Source organism: Homo sapiens, chromosome 6 (assembly GCF_000001405.40).
Source record: "Homo sapiens chromosome 6, GRCh38.p14 Primary Assembly".
NCBI lineage: Eukaryota > Metazoa > Chordata > Mammalia > Primates > Hominidae > Homo > Homo sapiens.
This window is the reverse complement of record NC_000006.12, coordinates 6,787,377-6,806,573: the sequence shown is the minus strand read 5'-3', so window position 1 is coordinate 6,806,573 and position 19,197 is coordinate 6,787,377. Positions and strand designations below refer to the sequence as shown.

General features: G+C 48.3%; 1 long non-coding RNA gene and 1 pseudogene across 1 annotated transcript in view, besides 4 other annotated features; both read left to right on the top strand.

Annotated features, from left to right (window-relative positions):
- Window positions 2,330-3,529: an enhancer, noted in NCBI's record as "MED14-independent group 3 enhancer chr6:6803278-6804477 (GRCh37/hg19 assembly coordinates)". NCBI's record gives its function as "activates an origin of replication core promoter dependent on BRD2, BRD4, P300/CBP and CDK7 cofactors, and independent of MED14, by STARR-seq in HCT116 cells {active_cell/tissue: HCT116}" and the evidence as "EXISTENCE:reporter gene assay evidence [ECO:0000049][PMID:35650434]".
- Window positions 2,381-2,520: an enhancer, noted in NCBI's record as "active region_23931". NCBI's record gives its function as "activates an Ori minimal core promoter by ATAC-STARR-seq in GM12878 lymphoblastoid cells {active_cell/tissue: GM12878}" and the evidence as "EXISTENCE:reporter gene assay evidence [ECO:0000049][PMID:35858748]".
- Window positions 2,531-2,590: an enhancer, noted in NCBI's record as "active region_23930". NCBI's record gives its function as "activates an Ori minimal core promoter by ATAC-STARR-seq in GM12878 lymphoblastoid cells {active_cell/tissue: GM12878}" and the evidence as "EXISTENCE:reporter gene assay evidence [ECO:0000049][PMID:35858748]".
- Window positions 2,841-3,020: an enhancer, noted in NCBI's record as "active region_23929". NCBI's record gives its function as "activates an Ori minimal core promoter by ATAC-STARR-seq in GM12878 lymphoblastoid cells {active_cell/tissue: GM12878}" and the evidence as "EXISTENCE:reporter gene assay evidence [ECO:0000049][PMID:35858748]".
- Window positions 5,403-19,197, top strand: part of LOC101928004 (uncharacterized) — a 106,380-nt gene continuing 92,585 nt past the window's right edge. The window contains exons 1-2 of the long non-coding RNA NR_187687.1: window positions 5,403-5,731; window positions 12,269-12,424. This is a non-coding gene — a long non-coding RNA (uncharacterized LOC101928004). The remainder of the gene's footprint in view (window positions 5,732-12,268; window positions 12,425-19,197) is intronic.
- Window positions 11,073-11,918, top strand: BTF3P7 (basic transcription factor 3 pseudogene 7; annotated as a pseudogene).

The following is a 19,197-nucleotide window of genomic DNA, read 5'->3' as shown; positions in this document are numbered from 1 at the left end:
GTGAAATGGGAATGAAAGGAGATAAAGCATTTTAATGATGGGCTGGTGTTGTCCAGGGAATTGCAACCCAGAGGTGATTTGCATGTGCAACTGCATTTTTTTTTTTTTTCGAGACAGAGTCTCGCTCTGTTGCCCAGGCTGGAGTGCAGTGGTGCAATCTCGGCTCACCGCAACCTCCACCTCCTGGGTTCTGCCTCAGCCTCTCCAGTAGCTGAGATTACGGGTGCATGCCATGACAACTGGCTAATTTTTGTGTTTTTGGTAGAGATGGGGTTTCTCCATGTTGGCCAGGCTGTTCTTGAACTACTGACCTCAGGTGATCTGCCCGCCTCAGCCTCCCAAAGTGCTGGGATTAAAGGCGTGTGCCACCAAGCCCGGCTCGTGCAGCTGCATTTATTAGGAAAAGGTTACAGGTAAGAGAAAGTCCTGAATAGCTGTAGCTTAAATATGAGAGAGACATTTGTTTCTCTCCCAGGTTAAAGGCCAAGAAGCCCCCAGTCCAGGAGGGGTTTGGCAACGCCACAATTCTTAGGACCCCGGCTCCTTCCGCATCTCTTCTTTGCCATCCTCCATGTGTCTCCCTGTCTTAGTTTGGGTTCTCTAAAAACCAGAGACTGAGGCCAAAGCTAATGTACAAATACTTTCTTGAGGAATGCAACTCCAGGAAGCAAGAGGAAGGGGGAAAGAGGTGAGGCCGAGAAGGAAGGAGTAGAATACAAAGGGGTGCTTTACGAGGCCGGCCCCAGCTTTCAACAAATGCAGCTAATTGTTTAGTTTCACAGAGTGTCTCTAGAAAGGCCCACTGGGGCTTGGAATAATACATATGAGAAGAAGGGAGAAAAATTTGCCTGGCCATGTCCCCCATTAGTCAAAGTTGGCTTCACGGGGCAGCAGGACTCCACACTTCCAGGTGGCACCAGCTGGCATCTCCTAGCTGGGAAAAGCAGCTCCTGAAACAGCAGCAGGAGCATCTGCATTGTGAACACAGGACCTGGGGCCAGTAAGTGAGCGGGTGTGAGTCAGGGGGACTCTCCACCTGCCCATCTCAGCCCAACAGACCTTGTCTGGAAAGGCCGTGTGTCTACCTGAATGAGTAGATCCCCGGGTTTCTTGCTCTTCACAGTAACAGGGAAGCCCTGAGGCAGGTGGTGGGAGGCATGTGACGCGAGGCATGAAGCAATGTGCTGTTGGGTTGTGCCTACAAGCAACATGGGAAGTCAGGAACATCCACCACCATGGGCCCAGCCTGGCCAGGCAGGTGAAATGTCATGGCACAGTAATCTCTGCCACCAGATGGCATGAAACTCAATGAACCTCATTTAAAAAAATAAAAACTCTTTCATGGTTTACAAGAAGGTGGTGATGTCAGGTGATCCTCTCAGAAGTTTAATGTGGTACTGAGCAGAGGAACCACACTTGAGCAGATCCTGGGAAGTAGATACACTGGCTGAGACATAGACTTCATATGCCAAAGTGGCTGCATGAGCTCCGGCCATCATGTCCACATTCCTGCTAACAAGGATGGTGGAAAGGAAAGACTGAGGCACATTGCCTTTATCTGTGGTCACTTCTAAAAAGTTGGACACTATGCTGGGCATGGTGGCACCGGCCTGTTGTCTCTGCTTCTGGGGAGGCTGAGGTGGAAGGATTGCTTGAGTCAGGAGTTTGAGTTCGCATCTCTAAAATAAAAAAGAAAGTTGCACACAGCATACCTGCTGACTTTTCACTGGCCCAGACTTAGTCCTAATGCCACACCTAGAAGTAAAGCAAAGGCAATATTCTGAGAGATCTCATGCATAGCTGAAAATTGCCAGAATGGTAAAATAGAATATTGAGACGAATTGGCAGCTTATGGCACAGCTGCCAGGGTTGGGAGCGCCTGAGGGGGCACTGCAGAGTGTGCCCAGTGTGTGCTCCCATTTCAAATGGGCATGAGCAGGATGGGAGGGGGAGGAAGGAGAGTGGAGATAAGGGAATGGCGGTGTGGAAGAGGTTCAGGGGAAGACAGAGATGCAAAAGAAGAAGGGAGAGGGAGGAGACAGGCAGTGAGAAACGAGGGTGAGGCAGAAAGAGGGACAAGAGGATTGCCCCACCTGCAGATGGGACTCGTTTTGTTTCTGTGGAAACCATGGAGTTTTTAGTGGGCAACAGATGAGGATGAGGATGAGGGTGGGTTCTTGCCGGCAGCAGCACCTCTGTCCAGCCAGGGCTGATGTCGTGCTAGCCTTGGCCTGTACCCTACCCTCCTCCTGCCCCTTGCCCTAAAACCCAGCCAGGCAGACACTGCCTCCCCCTTTTCTACCTCCTGCCTCCTTCCCCTCCCATAGTCTTGGAGCAGGAAGTCAGACATATTCCTTCTAGGGTCATGTGGACTAGATTCACCCCATCAGCTTGGCATCAGCCTCAGGCTCTTCTGTGGCCCTCTTGCACCTGTACTCTGAAATGGCCTTTCTTGTTTCCAAAAAGCTTCTGGGGAGATGGAAATAAGGTCCAATCTGCAGGACATTATGGCCAAATCAAGGATCCCTAGCCACTTCTGGGGCACTAAGATTGCAGAAGGATCATAGACAGCATTTGCTTAGGACAGACATCACGATGGAACAGAACCGTGAAGAGAGGTGCCCTCCTCGCCTAGTGGTGTCCTGAACTGAAGCTAGCTGGGTGCTTCCCCAAACCTGCGTTAACTGAAACCAGCCAGGTTCCTCCCTGCCCGGCCTCATTACTCATCTTGCCACATCTTTCTTCCTCCCTGAAGGAGGAGCCTGGCCCCAGGTGTGTCTCAGCACTGCAAGACGCTTGGTGCTCGCCCGGCCTCGAAGGCTCACTCATGACAGAGGCATCCATGTACCCCTGGGACACGTCACGGGGTGTGTCCAGCACCAGGAAAGGATCTGCCTTTTTGTGTTTCCCTCCCCTGAGGCAGGGCAGGAGTCGGGCAGGGACTCGCTGGACTGTGAGGAGAAGCAGTGTGTCCTCACCTTTCCACCTTCCTCTGGCCACAGCTTTAGCTGCTGAATGATAACAAGGCTGCCTGCCGATCTCATAAGAGGGCATCTTGGGCAAGGCAAGGAGAAAGGGCTTTGGAGTCTTGAGTTCAAATCCCGGCTCCCCCAGCTGCTGTGCAACCGTGATGTATGACAGCCTCTCTGGGCCTCAGTGTTTGTATCTGCAAGATGAGGCTCTGACATAGACCTGATTAGGTTATGGTGAGGATTACACAATCCCTGCTTGAAAGGCACCTGGCTTGTTCTGAGTAAACCCTGTGACTCCCTTTAATTCCTGGTGGGTGGCTTGCTTGTGCCCTCATGAGGTTCAGCACTTGGCAGTACCCTGTCACCTGTTCATCATTAGCAATGACGGACGCAATGCTTCCTCTGTGACAAAGCCTCATCCGACAGAGCAGGACTGCAGGGCTTCTCCAGGGCTTGGGGAGGGGGACAAGGGCAGTGCGCACAGTTCCTTTTTGTTTGCTGATGCCACACTAGGCACGTGAAAGGGCTGGGTCAGAGAACCCAGCTTGGCCCACGCTGTCTCGGTTGGTGGCCGTCCTCACCTTCCTCACCCTTCAGATCCCGTAGGGAGCCCCTGCGGTGGTGCCATGGACGGGAAGCATCCCACCGTGCTTGTGGCTCACCTCGAGGTCCAGGTGTCACTGCATGGCCTGAAAAGGACTGTCTCCGAGCAGGTGCTCCCTCATCTCCCCTCTCCCGATTTCTACAACATCCTCTTCCCTGGCTCCTCGCCACTCCCTCCACTCTTTTTTCTTTAAACTTTTATTAAAGAATAACATCCCTCAATTTTTTTCCCTCCAACAAAGAACAAGCTCATGACCAAGAACAAAGAGGACATCTTGACCGTGTAAGTAATGATGACCGCTCTGTCCCCAGCTCATAGGGACCCTGAGGACTCCAGGTTGCCTCCCTATGTTGGCTCCTGATTCAAGCAGATGGCAGGGGGGTGTGTCCCAAGGAGCTGGGTGCTGATGTCAGGAGCCCAGCACCCTTGTGGAAGCCAAGAACGACACTGAGGGGGCAAGAAGAGACTGTGATGAGCTAAGTGATGGTGTTGTCCCCAGCACGCAACAAGGGCTGGTGCGGCAACTGGCGACCTGAGAGGGAGGGCTGGTCCCAGCAGGGAGGTGTTCATAGAAGGGAGAGATTTTCGGTGAGGAGTGGCAGCACAGTCATTCTCAACCCAGTGTGTCTTGGGAGATGCCTATGGGGTGGAAGTTGGATGATCAGGCTGTTATTGGGTCAATCTGATTCAAGGAGAGGGAGGAGAGGTGACGTGGCCAGAAGGAGGGCAGGAGGGTGGACAGCAGAGAATGCAGCCGGCCACCCGGGCCATCCCCCTTGCCTCCACTCACTCATCCTTTCCCACCCCTGGGCCGAGGATGCGTCTCATTAGGTAGTTTTCAGATGGGTAAACTGAGGCAGGAGCCATTCCAGGCCCAGAGAGGAGAGCCAGGAAGGCACGTGTTGTAATCCCTGGGTTAGTTTTTCATTCACACACAGGGGAACCTCTCCAGCCCTGCCACTCACTAGTTTTAAGAGGCTCAAGTGTTCTGATTCCTGGCAGCAGCAACGTGGTAATGCTTCTTTCTTGTTCCCTCCCTGATCCCTTCTTCCCTCATGCTTGAGGGCTTGGCCCCGCTTTTCTCCATGTATTTCCACCAGGGTGCCACACTGCCTGGAATTGCAACCGCTGGGGCCTTGTCCAGTTTATTATCTCTCACCACAGGTGCAGGAAGGAGGCAGGGAGCAGGGCTGTGTCGCAGAGCAAGGCCAGGGCATCCCACCCCACCATGGCCGCCCATCCCCATGGCCTCCCTCAAGATCAGGAAACTGCTCCACATTGCAGTAACTAAGTGCACCAGGCGTGGCTGCTGGTGAGGGGTGGTCAGGCAGCACCTGTGGCCAGCCTAAAGGAAGGTCAAGGTTTGTGAAGGCATCTGGTGCCTCCCCTGTTGAAATTTCTTTTTCTCCTCCTTATTAGTTGAATCTTAAGAATTGACAGTACCATAAAACGTGAAACCTTTATTTCTGCTTTTTAAATGGAAAACCGGGCTGGGCACAGCGGCTCATGCCTATAATCCCAGCACTTTGGGAGGCTGAGGTGGGCAGATCGGCTGAGGTCAGGAGTTCAAGATCAGCCTGGCCAACATGGTGAAACCCCATCTCTACTAAAAATACAAAAATTAGCCAGGCATGGTGGCACATGCCTGTAACCCCAGCTACTCAGGAGGCTGAGGCAGGAGAATCGCTTAAACCCAGGAGGCGGAGGTTGCAGTGAGACGAGATTGCGCCATTGCACTCCAGCCTGGGTGGCAGAGTGAGACTCCACCTCAAAAAAAAGAAAAAAGGAAAACCAAGCAAAAGTCACTGTCAGGGGACCTCCCACCCACCATACAGGGGAACACTCGGCAGAGCCAGAGGCCTGGGCCCAAGTCCTGCCACCAGCTGGCTGTGAAACTGTGGTACAGCACCTTGTGTCCTGCCACCAGCCGGCTGTGAAACTGGTACAGCACCTTGTCCTCAGGTCCTTGGTTTCCTCACTTGTAAATTCATGGTTCTCCATGGCATCTCTGGTCTTCAACATTATTTTGCATAGAGTCTCAGAAGCTTTAGTGTGAGCGGATGATATGGGCACGAAGCAAGGCACCCAGAAGTGGGGGCAACTACTCTGCTTTCTAAAATGCAAGGGAACCGGAAAATCCAGGAGCCGTGCCAAAGTGAGTGAGTATTTTCTTGGGCCACCAAAGGGGTCTGAACTGGTGTGGCTTGAGCTCAGTTTTTGTGGTTCAGATAGATTTGAAAACTCACTTCTCCCCATTAAGCACTGGAAGGAATTAGTCACCCTTCTTTGTGGAAGTGGAGAGATTCTCCGAGAGCTACTCAACAGGCTCCTTTGAAAGGTTCTCAGGACCAGCACTGTGCTGAGTGTGTGTGTGTGTGTGTGTGTGTGTGTGTGTGTGTGTGTGTGTGAAAGAGAGAGAGAGAGAAACAGAGAATGTGAAGGTATGTGAGGGACAGAGGGAGGAGTGAGAGAGAGACACAGAGGGAAACAGAGAGAGATGGAGAGATGGAGGGTGAGTGAGACAGAGAGATATACAGTGAGGGAGATGGAGAGAGAAATGAAGAGACAGAAAGAGAAAGAGAAAGGAGAGGGAGAATGAGTGTGGATAGGGTGGAGGGAACAAAAAGATTAAGATACAGTCACCAACCTCTAGGGTTTACCATCATGCCAACAAATATAGCAATGTTCCTGGGTAGAATAGGGCCATGACAAAGGAGGATAATGGAAAGGGTGGTTAATTCTGGCCAGAAGAACCCCAGAAGACTTCCTGGAGGAGGTGGCATTTGGCTAGTGTTTTCCATTCAGGGTGAGCTGGGTATCTGTGGGTAAGAGCTTCAGAGCAGAGGGAACAGCAGCTGCAGAGATAGGACGCTGGCTGCTGTCTGTCTCTAAGCCTTGGGCTCCTGGGCCAGGCCTTCTTTATGCTCATTCCTTCACAGGTGGAGCAAGACCCTCAGTCCCCCCGACTCCCCACCCCTCACCACCCGGGCTCAGCTGGGGCTCCCCCTCCTCTCTAGAGGCCACACTGGGGAAGTTGCCCTCAGTCTGCAGGCAGCTATGAGAGGAGTTTCACTTCACTCAGCAAAATCTTTTCTTAGAACCACAGTTGGCTTTTACAAAATTTTCTGGCCACATGAAAGCCAAGCAGCCAGTTTTCAAAAGGCTTTCGATGGCTGAGAAGGAATGTTCAAGGAAGGCTGTTGTATCACGGACGAGACTCTTTCCATGCTTATGGTTTGAATGTTTGCTCCCTCCCAAACTCTTGTGGAAACTCAAGCCCCAGTGTGGCAGGATGGAGAGGTGGGACCCAAGAGGTGATTGGGTCGGCCGGGCGCGGTGGCTCACGCCTATAATCCCAGCACTTTGGGAGGCCAAGGCGGGCGGATCATGAGGTCAGGAGATCGAGACCATCCTGACTAACACGGTGAAACCCCGTCTCTACTAAAAATACAAAAAATTAGCTGGGCGTGGTGGCATGTGCCTGTGGTCCCAGCTACTCGGGAGACTGAGGCAGGAGAATCACTTGAACCCGGGAGGCGGGGTTTGCAGTGAGCCGAGATTGCACCACTGCACTCCAGCCTGGGCGACAGAGCAAGACTCCGTCTCCAAAAAAAAAAAAAAAAAAAAGAGGTGAATGTGTCATGAGGGCTCTCTGCCCTCATGAGTGGATTAATCCATTCATAGATTAATGGATTAATGAATTAAAGGGTTGTTTTGGGAGTGGCTGGCTTTATGACAGGAAGAGAGGCCTGTGCCTGCCCAGTGAGCTCTCTCCCCACAAGATGCCCTGTGCTGTCATGAGACTCTGCAGTGTCCCTACCAGCAGGAAGGCTCTCCCCAAATGCAGCCCCTTGACCCTGGACTTCCCAGCCTCCAGAACTGTAAGAAAGACATTTCATTTCTTCTAAATTACCCAGTCTCCAGTATTCTGTTATAAACAATAGAAAAAGGACTAGGACGCCATCTTTATGTCTTTTTACGGTTGGGATGGGGAGGGAAGTGGTGAGGAGGAGACCAAAGTTGGAGATACCTGTGAACAAAGTGACATCCTTGAGGGAGTGAGCCCCCTTCACCAGTGGTGTACATTCTGCCACCCACTCATGTTTTATTCATCTGGCTTCCACCATCTTCCTTTGCCAGCCACAGTGTTATGAGTGCTGAGGGACAGAGCGGGGAGATGAGGATTCCAAGAATGAATAGAGTGAGTTCTCTTCCTTTTAAAGTTGCAAATGAATGATTACTCAATGTGGCAGCTACGAGCTGCAGTGAACAGTGCAAAATAGCAAGTTTCTGGGTCTTGGGGAATCGAGGAGGCATTTTTTGAGTGTGGTTTTGCAGAATAAGTCAGCATTTACCCACAGAGACAAGCAAGAAAGATGTCCTAAAAAGCAAAGCAGCAACTGCAGGGGCCACCTAGGGACAAAACCCCAAGTCCTAGTCTGTTGCTGTCACCAAATGTCACGTTGCCTCTTTGTGCCTCTGCTCAGCAGAGATCACCGTTGATGGAGCATTGTGAGGCCTTTCAGGGTGAGGAGGTGTTCTGCTCTGGAACTCTATCATCATCTTACAGAACATGGTGTCAGCTTCCAGGGACTGTTTGACACACAATTTTGGTTTCCCCCAAGCACAGAACCTGGCACATGTTAAAAACCTAATCAGTGTTTTTTGTCATGAAAGCAAAGCATTGTAATTCTGTGACTAAAGCATGACAGCTATATTTTGTCAGGTAGAAAAAGAACACAGGCGGTTGTCTTGACTGTGCTTAGAAGGGCGTACACTAAACCTATTACTATTGTGGATTTTATTTGTGAGATTTTCTTTTTTTAATGAAAGAAGAGGTGTTTAACACATCTTAACTGCAATATTTGCAAGTGTTCATAAGCCTGAAATGTATAGAACTGAACTGAATTTTTTAAAGTTAGGCATCGTTACCATGATTTTAGCAGTTGTTTATTGAGTAGGGATAAGGGGCTTTGCACACTGCATGCTTTCTCTATGTCTGTTTACTTTGATTTTTCCTCTCATCTCTATGTGAAAGTGGAATACATTTCCTCAGAAGAAGCCTGACTGGAAGCAAGCATCTGCAAAAGCAACATGGACTTGTCCTTAATAGGAAGAGGAGCTGCTGGCCTGGGCATGAAAGGGAGAGCAGGAAGGCCAGGGGCTCAAAGCACAGAGATGGGGCGCAGGGAGGCAGCAAGGGGTGGACAGAGTGGGTGACCTGGAGACTGTGAGGAGGGTGTTAACACTGCTAGAGAGAAAGCATGGGTATGTTAGGCCAATCTTGCATTGCTATGAAGGCATACCTGAGACTGGGTAATCTATAAAGAGAAGAGGTTTAATTGGCTCACAGTTCTGCAGGGTGTACAAGAAGCATGGCACCAGCATCTGCTTGGTTTCTGGCAAAGCCTCAGGAAGTTTTACTCACGGCAGAAGGTGAAGCAGGATCAGGCACATACACGGGCACATCACACGGCCAGAGTGGAAGCAACAGAGAGGGAGGGAGGAGGTGCCACGCACTTTTAAACAACCAGCTCTTCAAAGAACTCACTCATCACCAAGGGGATGGCTTTAAGCCATTCATGAATGATCTGCCCTCGTGATCCAAATACTTCCCGCCAGGCCCCACTTCCAACACTGGGGATTACAATTTTACATGAGATTTGACAGGGACACAGACCCAGACCATATCAATGGGCTTGAGGCATGGAACAGATCATTCTTTGCACCTCATGCTGTCTTCATTTCTTCCCCCTCTGGAAATGAGACCAAATGTGAAGACTGTGGACACTTTCAGGCAGGTGGGACCCCAGATGATGGCCTCTGGGGGGAACCATCTGTTACCAGGTGCCCAATGGGGTAGTGATAAAGAAGGTGAACCCCGGAGCTCAACTGCCTGGGTGCAAATCCTGCTGTTCCACGCACTCGCTCTGCAACCTTGGGTAATTTAGTCAGCCTCTCGATGCTTTCGTTTCCTCATTGGTGGAGGGAGCAGTAAGAACACGTGGCTCGTGGGAGGCTGCAAGGGACCAAGTGCATGAAAGGTTTAGAGTAGCACCTGGTGGGTTGGGCACGGTGGCTCGCGCTTATAATCCCAGCACTTTGGGAGGCCGAGGCAGGTGAATTAGCTGAGGTCAGGAGTTCAAGACCAGACTGGCCAACATGGCAAAACCTCATCACTACTAAAAATACAAAAATTAGTCGGGTGTGGTGGTGGGCAGCTGTAGTCCCAGCTACTCGGAAGGCTGAGGAGGGAGAATTGCTTGAACCCAGGAGCCGGAGGTTGCAGTGAGCCAAGATCACACCATTGCACTGCAGCCTGGGTGATAGAGTGAGACTCTATCACAAAAAAAAAAAAAAAAAAAAAAAAATAGCACCTGGTGCCTAGCAAGGGCTCCACACCTAGGCATGGATCAATGTGCTTTCTATGACCCCTTAAGCCCATTTCCCCATAACACATTTTGTAGTCTCAACCTGAATTCTGACTACAAGAGAACCTGGCATAATTGCTTCTTTTGTTTAAATCAGTTACGGTGTTTTTTGTTTTTTTTTGTTTTGTTTTGTTTTGTTTTTTGAGACAGAGTCTCACTCTGTCACCCAGGCTAGAATGCAGTGGCATGATCTCGGCTCACTGCAAGCTCCACCTCCCGGGTTCACGCCATTCTCCTGCCTCAGCCTCCCAAGTAGCTGGGACTACAGGCGCCTGCCAACACACCCAGCTAATTTTTTTGTATTTTTTTTTCTTTTAGTAGAGACGGGGTTTCACCGTGTTAGCCAGGATGGTCTCGATCTCCCGACCTCATGATCCTCCCGCCTTGGCCTCCCAAAGTGCTGCGATTACAGGCGTGAGCCACCACGCCCAGTTACGGTGTTTTTAGCAGCAAGTAATACAAAGTGGCTTCTTCAATACAGATGTTCATGCTTACTTAGCAGGAAATTCAGAGGCAGATGGTCTCTCCAGACATTTCTATGTCTCCTAATCTTTTTGCCTGATTTTGAGCCATTTTGGTGATCATCGAGTGAGTCTACCAAGGTTGAGCAGAGAATGGAGAGATGGTAAAAGCCAAACTGGCCCATTTATGAGGTGCAGCCGCCATGCAGAGGAATGACGTTTTTTGAAAATAAAAGCAAAACCTGCCTGGGTTCATGTTTCCAAGGGAGCACTGTCCTTTGAGGTCACCTGGGAAGCAGGGCACTTTTTCCAGTGTGATGCGTCACTCAGGTGATTTTGAACTCTTCTCCTGGAATCTTCCCTGGAGGTAAATTACAAGTCACATTCACATCTGAATATGATTTGTTTTCCTCTTTTAACTTATTCAAGATGTTCTCAGTTGGACAAATATTTTGCAAGTCTTCATTGTAGGCAAGCAAGGGAGGAAACCACCATTTATTCATCAGCAACTGCTTTCCAGGGACTTTGCATGGGTTATTGAGTCACCTCACAATGACTTTGAGGAGCTGGCATTACTATCTCCAGTTTAAAGATGAACAAATGGGCATCTCTGCATGTGTGCGCCTAATCTCAGCTGGTTCACCTGAGACCCCCTGAACACCCACCCTAGACCCCCGTGCTGCCCCTTTTCTGCTCCGACAAGATGAAAGAAATAATCATGAACCAGGGAAAACTCACCAAACTACAGGTACAAGTGCACATTGGCGGGAAAGGAACTGCCAGCAAAAAGAAGAAAGTGGTTCATGGGACAGCCACAGCAGATGATAAAATCTTCAGTTCTCCTTAAAGAAGTTAGGGTTAAACAATACCTCTAGTATTGAAGAGGTGAATATGTTTACAAACCAAGAAACAGTGATCCACTTTCACAACCTTAAAGTTCAGGCATCTTTGGCAGCAAACACCTTCACCATTACAGGCCACACTGAGGCAAAGCAGCTGAGAGAAATGCTACCCGGCATCTTAAACCAGCTTGGTGCAGACAGTCCCACTAAGTTAAGGAGACTGGCTGAAGCTCTGCCCAAATAACCTGTGGATGGAAAAGCGCCACTTGCTACTGGAGAGGATGATGATAATGAAGTTCCAGATCTTGTGGAGAATTTTGATGAGGCTTCCAAGAATGAGGCAAACTGAATTGAGCCAACTTCTGAAGAAGATAAACCTTGAAGAACTTGCTGGGAGCTGCTATCTTATATTATGACTGCATTTTAAGAAATTTTTGCTAATGGATCTGATAAAATCTAGATCTGTAATATTTTTAAGCCCAAGCTCTTTGGACACTGCAGCTTTTTTCATCTTTTGCTTATACACTATTTCATTCTTTGCAGCTAATTAAGCTGAAAAAGCCTGGGAATAAAGTTTGAAACAAAGAGTAATAAAGTTCTTTGCCTAGGAAAAAAAAAAAAAGGCCAGGTGCGGTAGCTCACACCTGTAATCCCAGCACTTTGGGAGGCCGAGATGGGTGGATCACCTGAGGTCAGGAGTTCAAGACCAGCCTGACCAACATGGTGAAACCCTGTCCCTACTAAAAATACAAAAATTAGCCAGGCATGGTGGCAGACTGCTGTAGTCGCAGCTACTCGGGAGGCTGAGACAGGAGGATCGCTTGAACCTGGGAGGCGGAGGTTGCGGTGAGCCAAGATTGCACCACCGTGCACCATCCTGGGCAACAAGAGCAAAACTCTGTCTCAAAAATAAAATAAAATAAAATAAATCCCTGTCTTCATGGAATATATATTCCAGTGAGAAGAGGAACAAATGGAGGAACATCCCAGTCAAGTGACATTCCTAGTGACATTCACCAGAACAGAGTCAAGCTTTGGATCCCATGTTCTGTGACTTCCTCTTCACCACGCTTCCTCCACACACGTAGCAGCTCAAGGGTTTCTGATGAGTGGGGTAAGTAGGAAATGGCACAAAAAACCACAAATGACACAGAACGCAATATGTGTCTAAGAATGTATGCATGTTTTAGTAGAAGGACTTTAGAGTTAGGAAAGATTCACTTTAGCTGAGTATTGGAGAACTTCATGGAGGGATTATCACTGGACCTGCATAGGCTGGAAAGCGGGCCCAGCGGTGGGAGGGGCAGGGTCAGAAGGGCCAAGGAGGAGCTTGTCTGAAGCACATGGTGGGCGTGGGGAGAGGTATGGGAGAGGGCTGGGACCTTAGGTTGGAGCTGGTTTGTACAGGCTGAAGACTTTCTATTCGATTTCACAATCATTGCAAAGCCCTTGCAGACTTAAACAAGAAAATACTTTATTCAGCAACATTTTAGAGGGATTAGTGTGACAGTGATGTGATGGAAAAGAGATCTGGAAGGTCAAGAGACCGTTTAGGAAGCTATGAAAAGAGCCAGGACATAGCCTAGTGTTTCTAAGACATTTGGATTTCATGAACCAGCCAAGTTTCCCCTCAAAACTTGAAGAGATTGACCTAAGTGTCCCAATATTCTATTTTTGCCAAATAAGGGCATAGACAACAATAACAATAAGAACAACCACCTAGTCCCACTATCACTTTGTAAATAAAAGGACATGCTAGCTTCCCTAAGCAGGAAGGATGTTGTTGCTGTGTAGGCAGTATTTCCCAAAAAGGACATCTGGGACTTTATATTAACATATCATTTCTCCTCCCAACACACACATGCACACGCTCACATACTTACATGCTTGTTTTTCTCATTTCATCACAAAAAGGCAAGAACTTCGTTCTGGACATGCCACCAGTCCTTCACCCAGCTTCTAGGAAGCACTGCAGTAGACTATAACAGGGAACCCCCAAACAGCCCATCTGGAATGCACCTTCCCAATAGCTGCTGCTGAAGGACCACACCCAGGAATCGATGTTAATACCATGATTCTGCCTGGTATTAAAGCATTAAAGCTGGGCTCCTGGTGAGGCCAGTGCAATCCATTGGCTGGCCAGTGTCCACTGAACCTCTCCTTTCCGAATCTGAGCAAGTGACCAAAGCTGTATTTAGACTGGAGAACAGTTGCACGGGAAGGTCATGAGGGGTTGGGATAATCATCTGGGGACATAAACAAGCTAGAAAGGCAGGGGAACAGGCCAAATCTGCAGAAAGAGATCCAGGTAAGAAACCACATGGCCCCAGAGGAGGCAAAAAAAACAACTGGAAGCACAGCTGCCTCAACACCTTCCCAGATCTAATCTTGTTTCCTATGAGGCCCCTTGTATTTCCATTGTGTGTCAGTGAGATGTGCCTCTGCCTTTTCATAACCCCCTTAGGTTGACTGGTTATTTCTTTCTTGCAACCAGAGGCTTGACTAGAATTGAATTCGAGACAAGCACAAAGATCATGATGCAAATGAAAGGGACAGAGGGGAGAGAAACAGAAAACAAGTGAGTCAAATTTGGTAAGGAATTAAATCGGGTAAAAAAAAAGCATCAAATGTTACTCCAAGGTCTTGACCCAGGTAAAGTAGGTGTGTCAGAATCAGAAAACAGGAAACCCAGGAGGAGTTGCTGGGGAGGGAGGGAGTTGTTGAGTTTGAGGTGCCGGGGGTGGGCAGATGGTTGGTGCAGAGGAGCTATCCAGATCTCAGGCGAGAGTGACTACAGCGGGAAAGCGTGAGACGAGAAGGGAGAGCAAGTGGAATAAGACTGGCACAAGGACTTGGGTCTGGGCACTGGGTAACTGATCTGGGAGGGGAGGGATTTGGATGCTCCCAAGGAGTGGCGTTGAGATGGTAAAGGTGAATGGAGGCAAGATAAACCAGAAAAAGGAGCCCGGAGAAGATGAAGGACTGAGGCCCTGATGGTTTCTGAGCCCCCAGCACGTGCTCCGCAGATGGCTGTGGAATGTGTCTGAGGGAGAGAGCGTATACTTGATAAAGAGTTCAGATGGCATAAATTGTGGGATGCAAGAACAATTCTCATACCTAGGGTCACGCCACTACATTTTAGTAATTCTGGTATGAAAATTAGAAATGGGTGAGGTATATAGGGTTTGAGGAAGGAGGGGCTGGGAAGAGAGAGTTAATGGATAACATTCAAGTACACACCTGTAATCCCAGCACTTTAGGAGCCCCAGACAGGAGGATCCCTTGAGGCCAAGAGTTTGAGATCAGCCTGGACAACATAGTGAGACCCTGCCTCTACAGAAAATTAAAAACAAATTAGTGGGGTGTAGTAGTGTGCACATGTAGTCCCAGCTACTCAGGAAGCTGAAGCAGGAGGATTGCTTGAGCCGGGGAGGGTGAGGCTTCAGTGAGTGGTGATCACACCACTTCACTCCAGCCTGGGCAGCAGGGCGAGACCCTGTCTCAAAAAAAAAAAAAAAAAAAAAGGAGAAAAGATCATTGCCCAAAATGAAACTTCCTGAATAATCAATGGATTTCAATCATTTCTATCTATTTTTCAATGGTCTGATGACCTTGTGTTGAAGGACATGCAGGGTTTATTTCAAAAGGAGATTCCTGGGCCCTTGCCTCGATTTCCTGAATTAAAGTACTAGTGCTGAGGCCCAGAACCTGCCTGTTAAACAAGCTCCCTAGGTCATGCGTGTGCCCACCAATATGTGAGAACTTGTCTCCATTATCCTGAGAGGGCTGACTGTATTCTTTCACATGATTTCTTCTGGAAGCACTGAAGAGGGGTTCTTGTACCCGTCTGTTAGGAAGAAAATCAACCATTTCAAAGCACGCTGCAAATCTGAAGCCTTCCAGGCACCACTGGTGAGATAAAGGATAGAATCCAGGTGGTATCTCCTCTCCATATAACTAGGCCAAAGGTAGCAACTAGGAAGGTTTTTGCTCCCGCCCAGGAAGACTCACTTGCTGGGTCCCACTTCTGCAGTGCTTGCTGGCATCATGGCAGGGAAGAGACCTGCCCCTCTCTTTCCAGCCTCCCGAGGAAGCCTCTCCACAAACCCTCTTTCAGAATCATAAGAGCAAAGTGACTCACATCCGTAGGACTCACAGGGTGACATCAGGTTTATGGGCAGGGAAGGAAGGTAAGCTCCATTGCCTCCTATCATTGTGTGTGGCCTTCAGGCTGCAAATGTGCATGCCTGACTGCCTGAGCCCTTTCTTGGGATCAAAGTCATCTGGTTCCACCCACAGACATCATAGTTGCCCTTGCAAGAATGTCCTGAGCTGGGCATGGAGGTGCATGCATATAGTCCCAGCTACTCAGGGGGCTGAGGCAGGAGGATTGCTTGAGCCCAAGAATTCAAGTCCAGCCTGGGTAACATAGCGAGACCTCATCTCTAAAAATAATAATAATAAATAAATAAACAAAAAATAAGAATGCCCTCAGTTTAGGGTTGAGTTTTGACAAAAAGGCATCCACATCTCTCAGGCAATACAAGAGCAACGAAACTGACTTTGATGTCTCTGTTGATGGTGTACACATTGCATCATTAAAGATTGTTTGGGCTGCAACCAGCTGAAGATCCCATGACCCTTGACTTAGAGCACTAGGAATGGCCCAGGGTGAATTCTGTGGCTCTGTGATAACCCCAAGGGTGGAGGCTCTTTCTGTCTTACTACTCTACCATTTTTGGCGTGTCAGCAACATCCTGCTTTCTAGTCAAAGATGACCACCATGTTTCCTCGCACACCGTGGAAACCCAAGCAGGAGACGAGGGAGACTTGGCAAAGGGCTTCCTCCCCCTGAACCTCTCTCATCAGGGAGAGGGACCTTCCCTAGAGGCAGGCCTTGATCACATGATGACTCCACGGTCTATGACTGCAAAAGGGCACTCACTGCCATACACGAGGGTTCTGTTATTAATGAAAGGGGACTGGCCACTGGTAGGCCATAAAAATGTGTCCCGCATGGGGAATAGGTATTAATGAGTAAAGAATTCAAAGGACTTCATTTCCTCCCACCAGAGCATTGCACCCAGTGGAGAAGCATGTGTGGCCAGGGAGCTGCATGAAGGTGAAATCAGAACCTGTCCTTGGAGCACTCCTGGAAGTATGAGCAGGGGTGCAGTCAGGACGGCCTGACTCTCTGACCCTGTGACTGAGCCACAGGGGTCTCTTCTATGCTTCACTGTGCTTCTTCAATCTTGCCATCACTGTGTTGAAAAAGCATCCCTGGGCATTTGTGGTGAAGCCATTGGCAGAGCATCAACAGTCTTTCCAATGTACCAGTCCCACAGGGACCAGCCCCGGCTCCTTTACTTGGTTCATCATCCCACAAAAAAGGCTCCAGAGTGATGAGTGGAGGGAATGTGTATACAAGCTGGGAGATGCTTCAGGGATGGGGCATGACTCTGAGAAGCTCCACATGCAAAACAGGGTTATGATGGTCTAGGAGCCAGCTGCAGGGAGGTGGGCAGCCAGGAGGTGGGCTGGGGCTATCAGGGGAGTGACTGACTGCAAGGGCAGGCTCAAGGTGAAACTTTGAGAGGCAGATCCCAAGGCCCTTGGATCTGGCCTGTTACAGCAAATGGAGGAGTAAGGCAGAAAAGTCCTCTAGGGCTGTCTTCTACTCTCTCCTCCAACAGATTTTCACTGAGCATTTGCCATGAGCCAGACTCTGTTAGCTGTTGAGGTTTCAAGGGAAGGTAGAAAAGACAGAAGCAAACCAATGATAAAGATATCTATTGTCTTTTAGTGACTTTCATACACGCTCCCTCTCTTTTTTATTCTGTGCATCTCATTATCTAAGGGCTCGTTTTGTACCAAATGCTTTTATACATCATCTCATTCAAATCTCTCTGAGGTTGGAAATGCTATTTTTGTTTTACAGCTGTAAAAACTAAGGCCAGAGAGGGAAAGTGAGTGACCCAGGGCCCCACAGCTAGACAGATTCAAATCCATGGGGTCTATCTTAGTGACAAAGCTGGCACATTTCTTCCCCTCCTTGTGCCTGCTGAGGTTTTTTTGTTTTGTTTTGTTTTGTTTTTTGTTTGTTTGTTTTGGCTTTTAACATTTTACAATATTTTGCTATTTTTTCCTAATCAGGCAATATACATAAATATTTTAACAATCAACTAGTTTAAGATTTATGAAAAACAGCGTTTTCTTGCCCACCTTCTCCCAATTCTTCCTGCTCCCCAGAGGCAGCCACTTCCAAATGTTAGCCAGTTCAATTCTACATGTAATAGGAGAACGGCAATTTTTATTGATGTGTTGATTTGAGACATTTGGCATCTTCCGGTGATGAAGTTTTGTCTCTCTCTACTGGACACCATCTGCCTCTTCCAGATGTATTCTTCTCACCCTGGGCATTCTCCCAAGAGGCTGACCTGTAGGAACGCAGTGAACAGGCTACCTGATCACTGGCTTCTGGGTTGGGTGTGGCTCATGAGAGACATTGGCAGGAGACTGGATTGGAGGAAGATGCAGGGGCCAGAGTGTTTACTCTCCTAGATAAGCCCCTTCCTCCTCTTCTGGCAGGCAGTGCTCTCCATATAGCCGCTCTCTTAGGTTCTAGAAATTGCTCCTACCTTGCCCTTGAGCTCTCATGCCTAGAGGTGGCAATGACTGCCTGCTACTGTCAGTGCTAGGTACTGCACTCTGTTTTCCTAAACCCTTTTCACACTTTTATGAATAGTCTATTCATTACAATTAGATACAACTTACCCCCACACCATCCCCATACAACTATACACTCCCCTTCCAGTATCCTCTCAATATAATTATATCATATTTGTTGACATCATTAGTTGGACAGTATTTACATTATTAAACTATATAAATATTGCTGACTACATAGCCAAGTAGAGAGTTATCAGTCGTGATTGCATTTCCTTTTCTAAACTAATTTTTGTTTTTCCTGCGTTTAACTGCCCATTTTAAAAAAAGACTTAGTTTTCAATACATAGGTCTTTAATTCTTTCCACACACACCATCAGACATGTTAAATGCATGTACATGTTGTTTTCCTGTTTCAAACATTGTAAATTCTCTGTATCTTTTTCTTTGGGTGGGGGGCAAGTGTGAAGTAAACCAGCCTCCAGAATAAATAGAACTCAGTGTTATGGATTCTAAAATTAAAATCTTAACAAATTAACAAAGTGATGAAAACAGGAAGTTTAGCTCTCAAGGATCCTTTATTGGTCTTAAAGGTTTTACTCTCTTTGGCAAATATTGTGACCACTTTATAGATGCTACATATTCTACTAGACAAATACTATGACCTCTTTCAAAGTGTATCATCATTCCCCTTTTAAATAGCACATTCGAAGTGTGCTGACTTTTAGTTCTAGGGTCTGCCTTCCCCTTACCTGCTGAGTGTCACAGGATCTCTTCCCTCCTTGATTATCTCAAGGAGATACATCAACTTTTGGTTCATAAAAGAAAGTCAGTCGCTTTTATTTGTTAAAGACTTGAAGTATGGGCTGGGCGTGGTGGCTCACGCCTGTAATCCCAGCACTTTGGGAGGCCGAGGCAGGCGGATCACCTGAGGTTTGGAGTTTGAGACCAGCCTGACCAACATGGAGAAACCCTGTCTCTACTAAAAATACAAAATTAGCTGGATGTGGTGGCACATGCCTGTAATCCCAGCTACTTGGGAGGCTGAGACAGGAGAATCGCTTGAACCCGGGAGGCGGAGCTTGCGGTGAGCCGAGATCGCCCCATTGTACTCCAGCCTGGGCAACAAGAGCAAAACTCTGTCTCAAAAAAAAAAAAAAAAAAAAATTGAAGTGTAGTAGGCCTCAATCTCTGGCTTCCTGCAGTGTAGATCTTATCAAC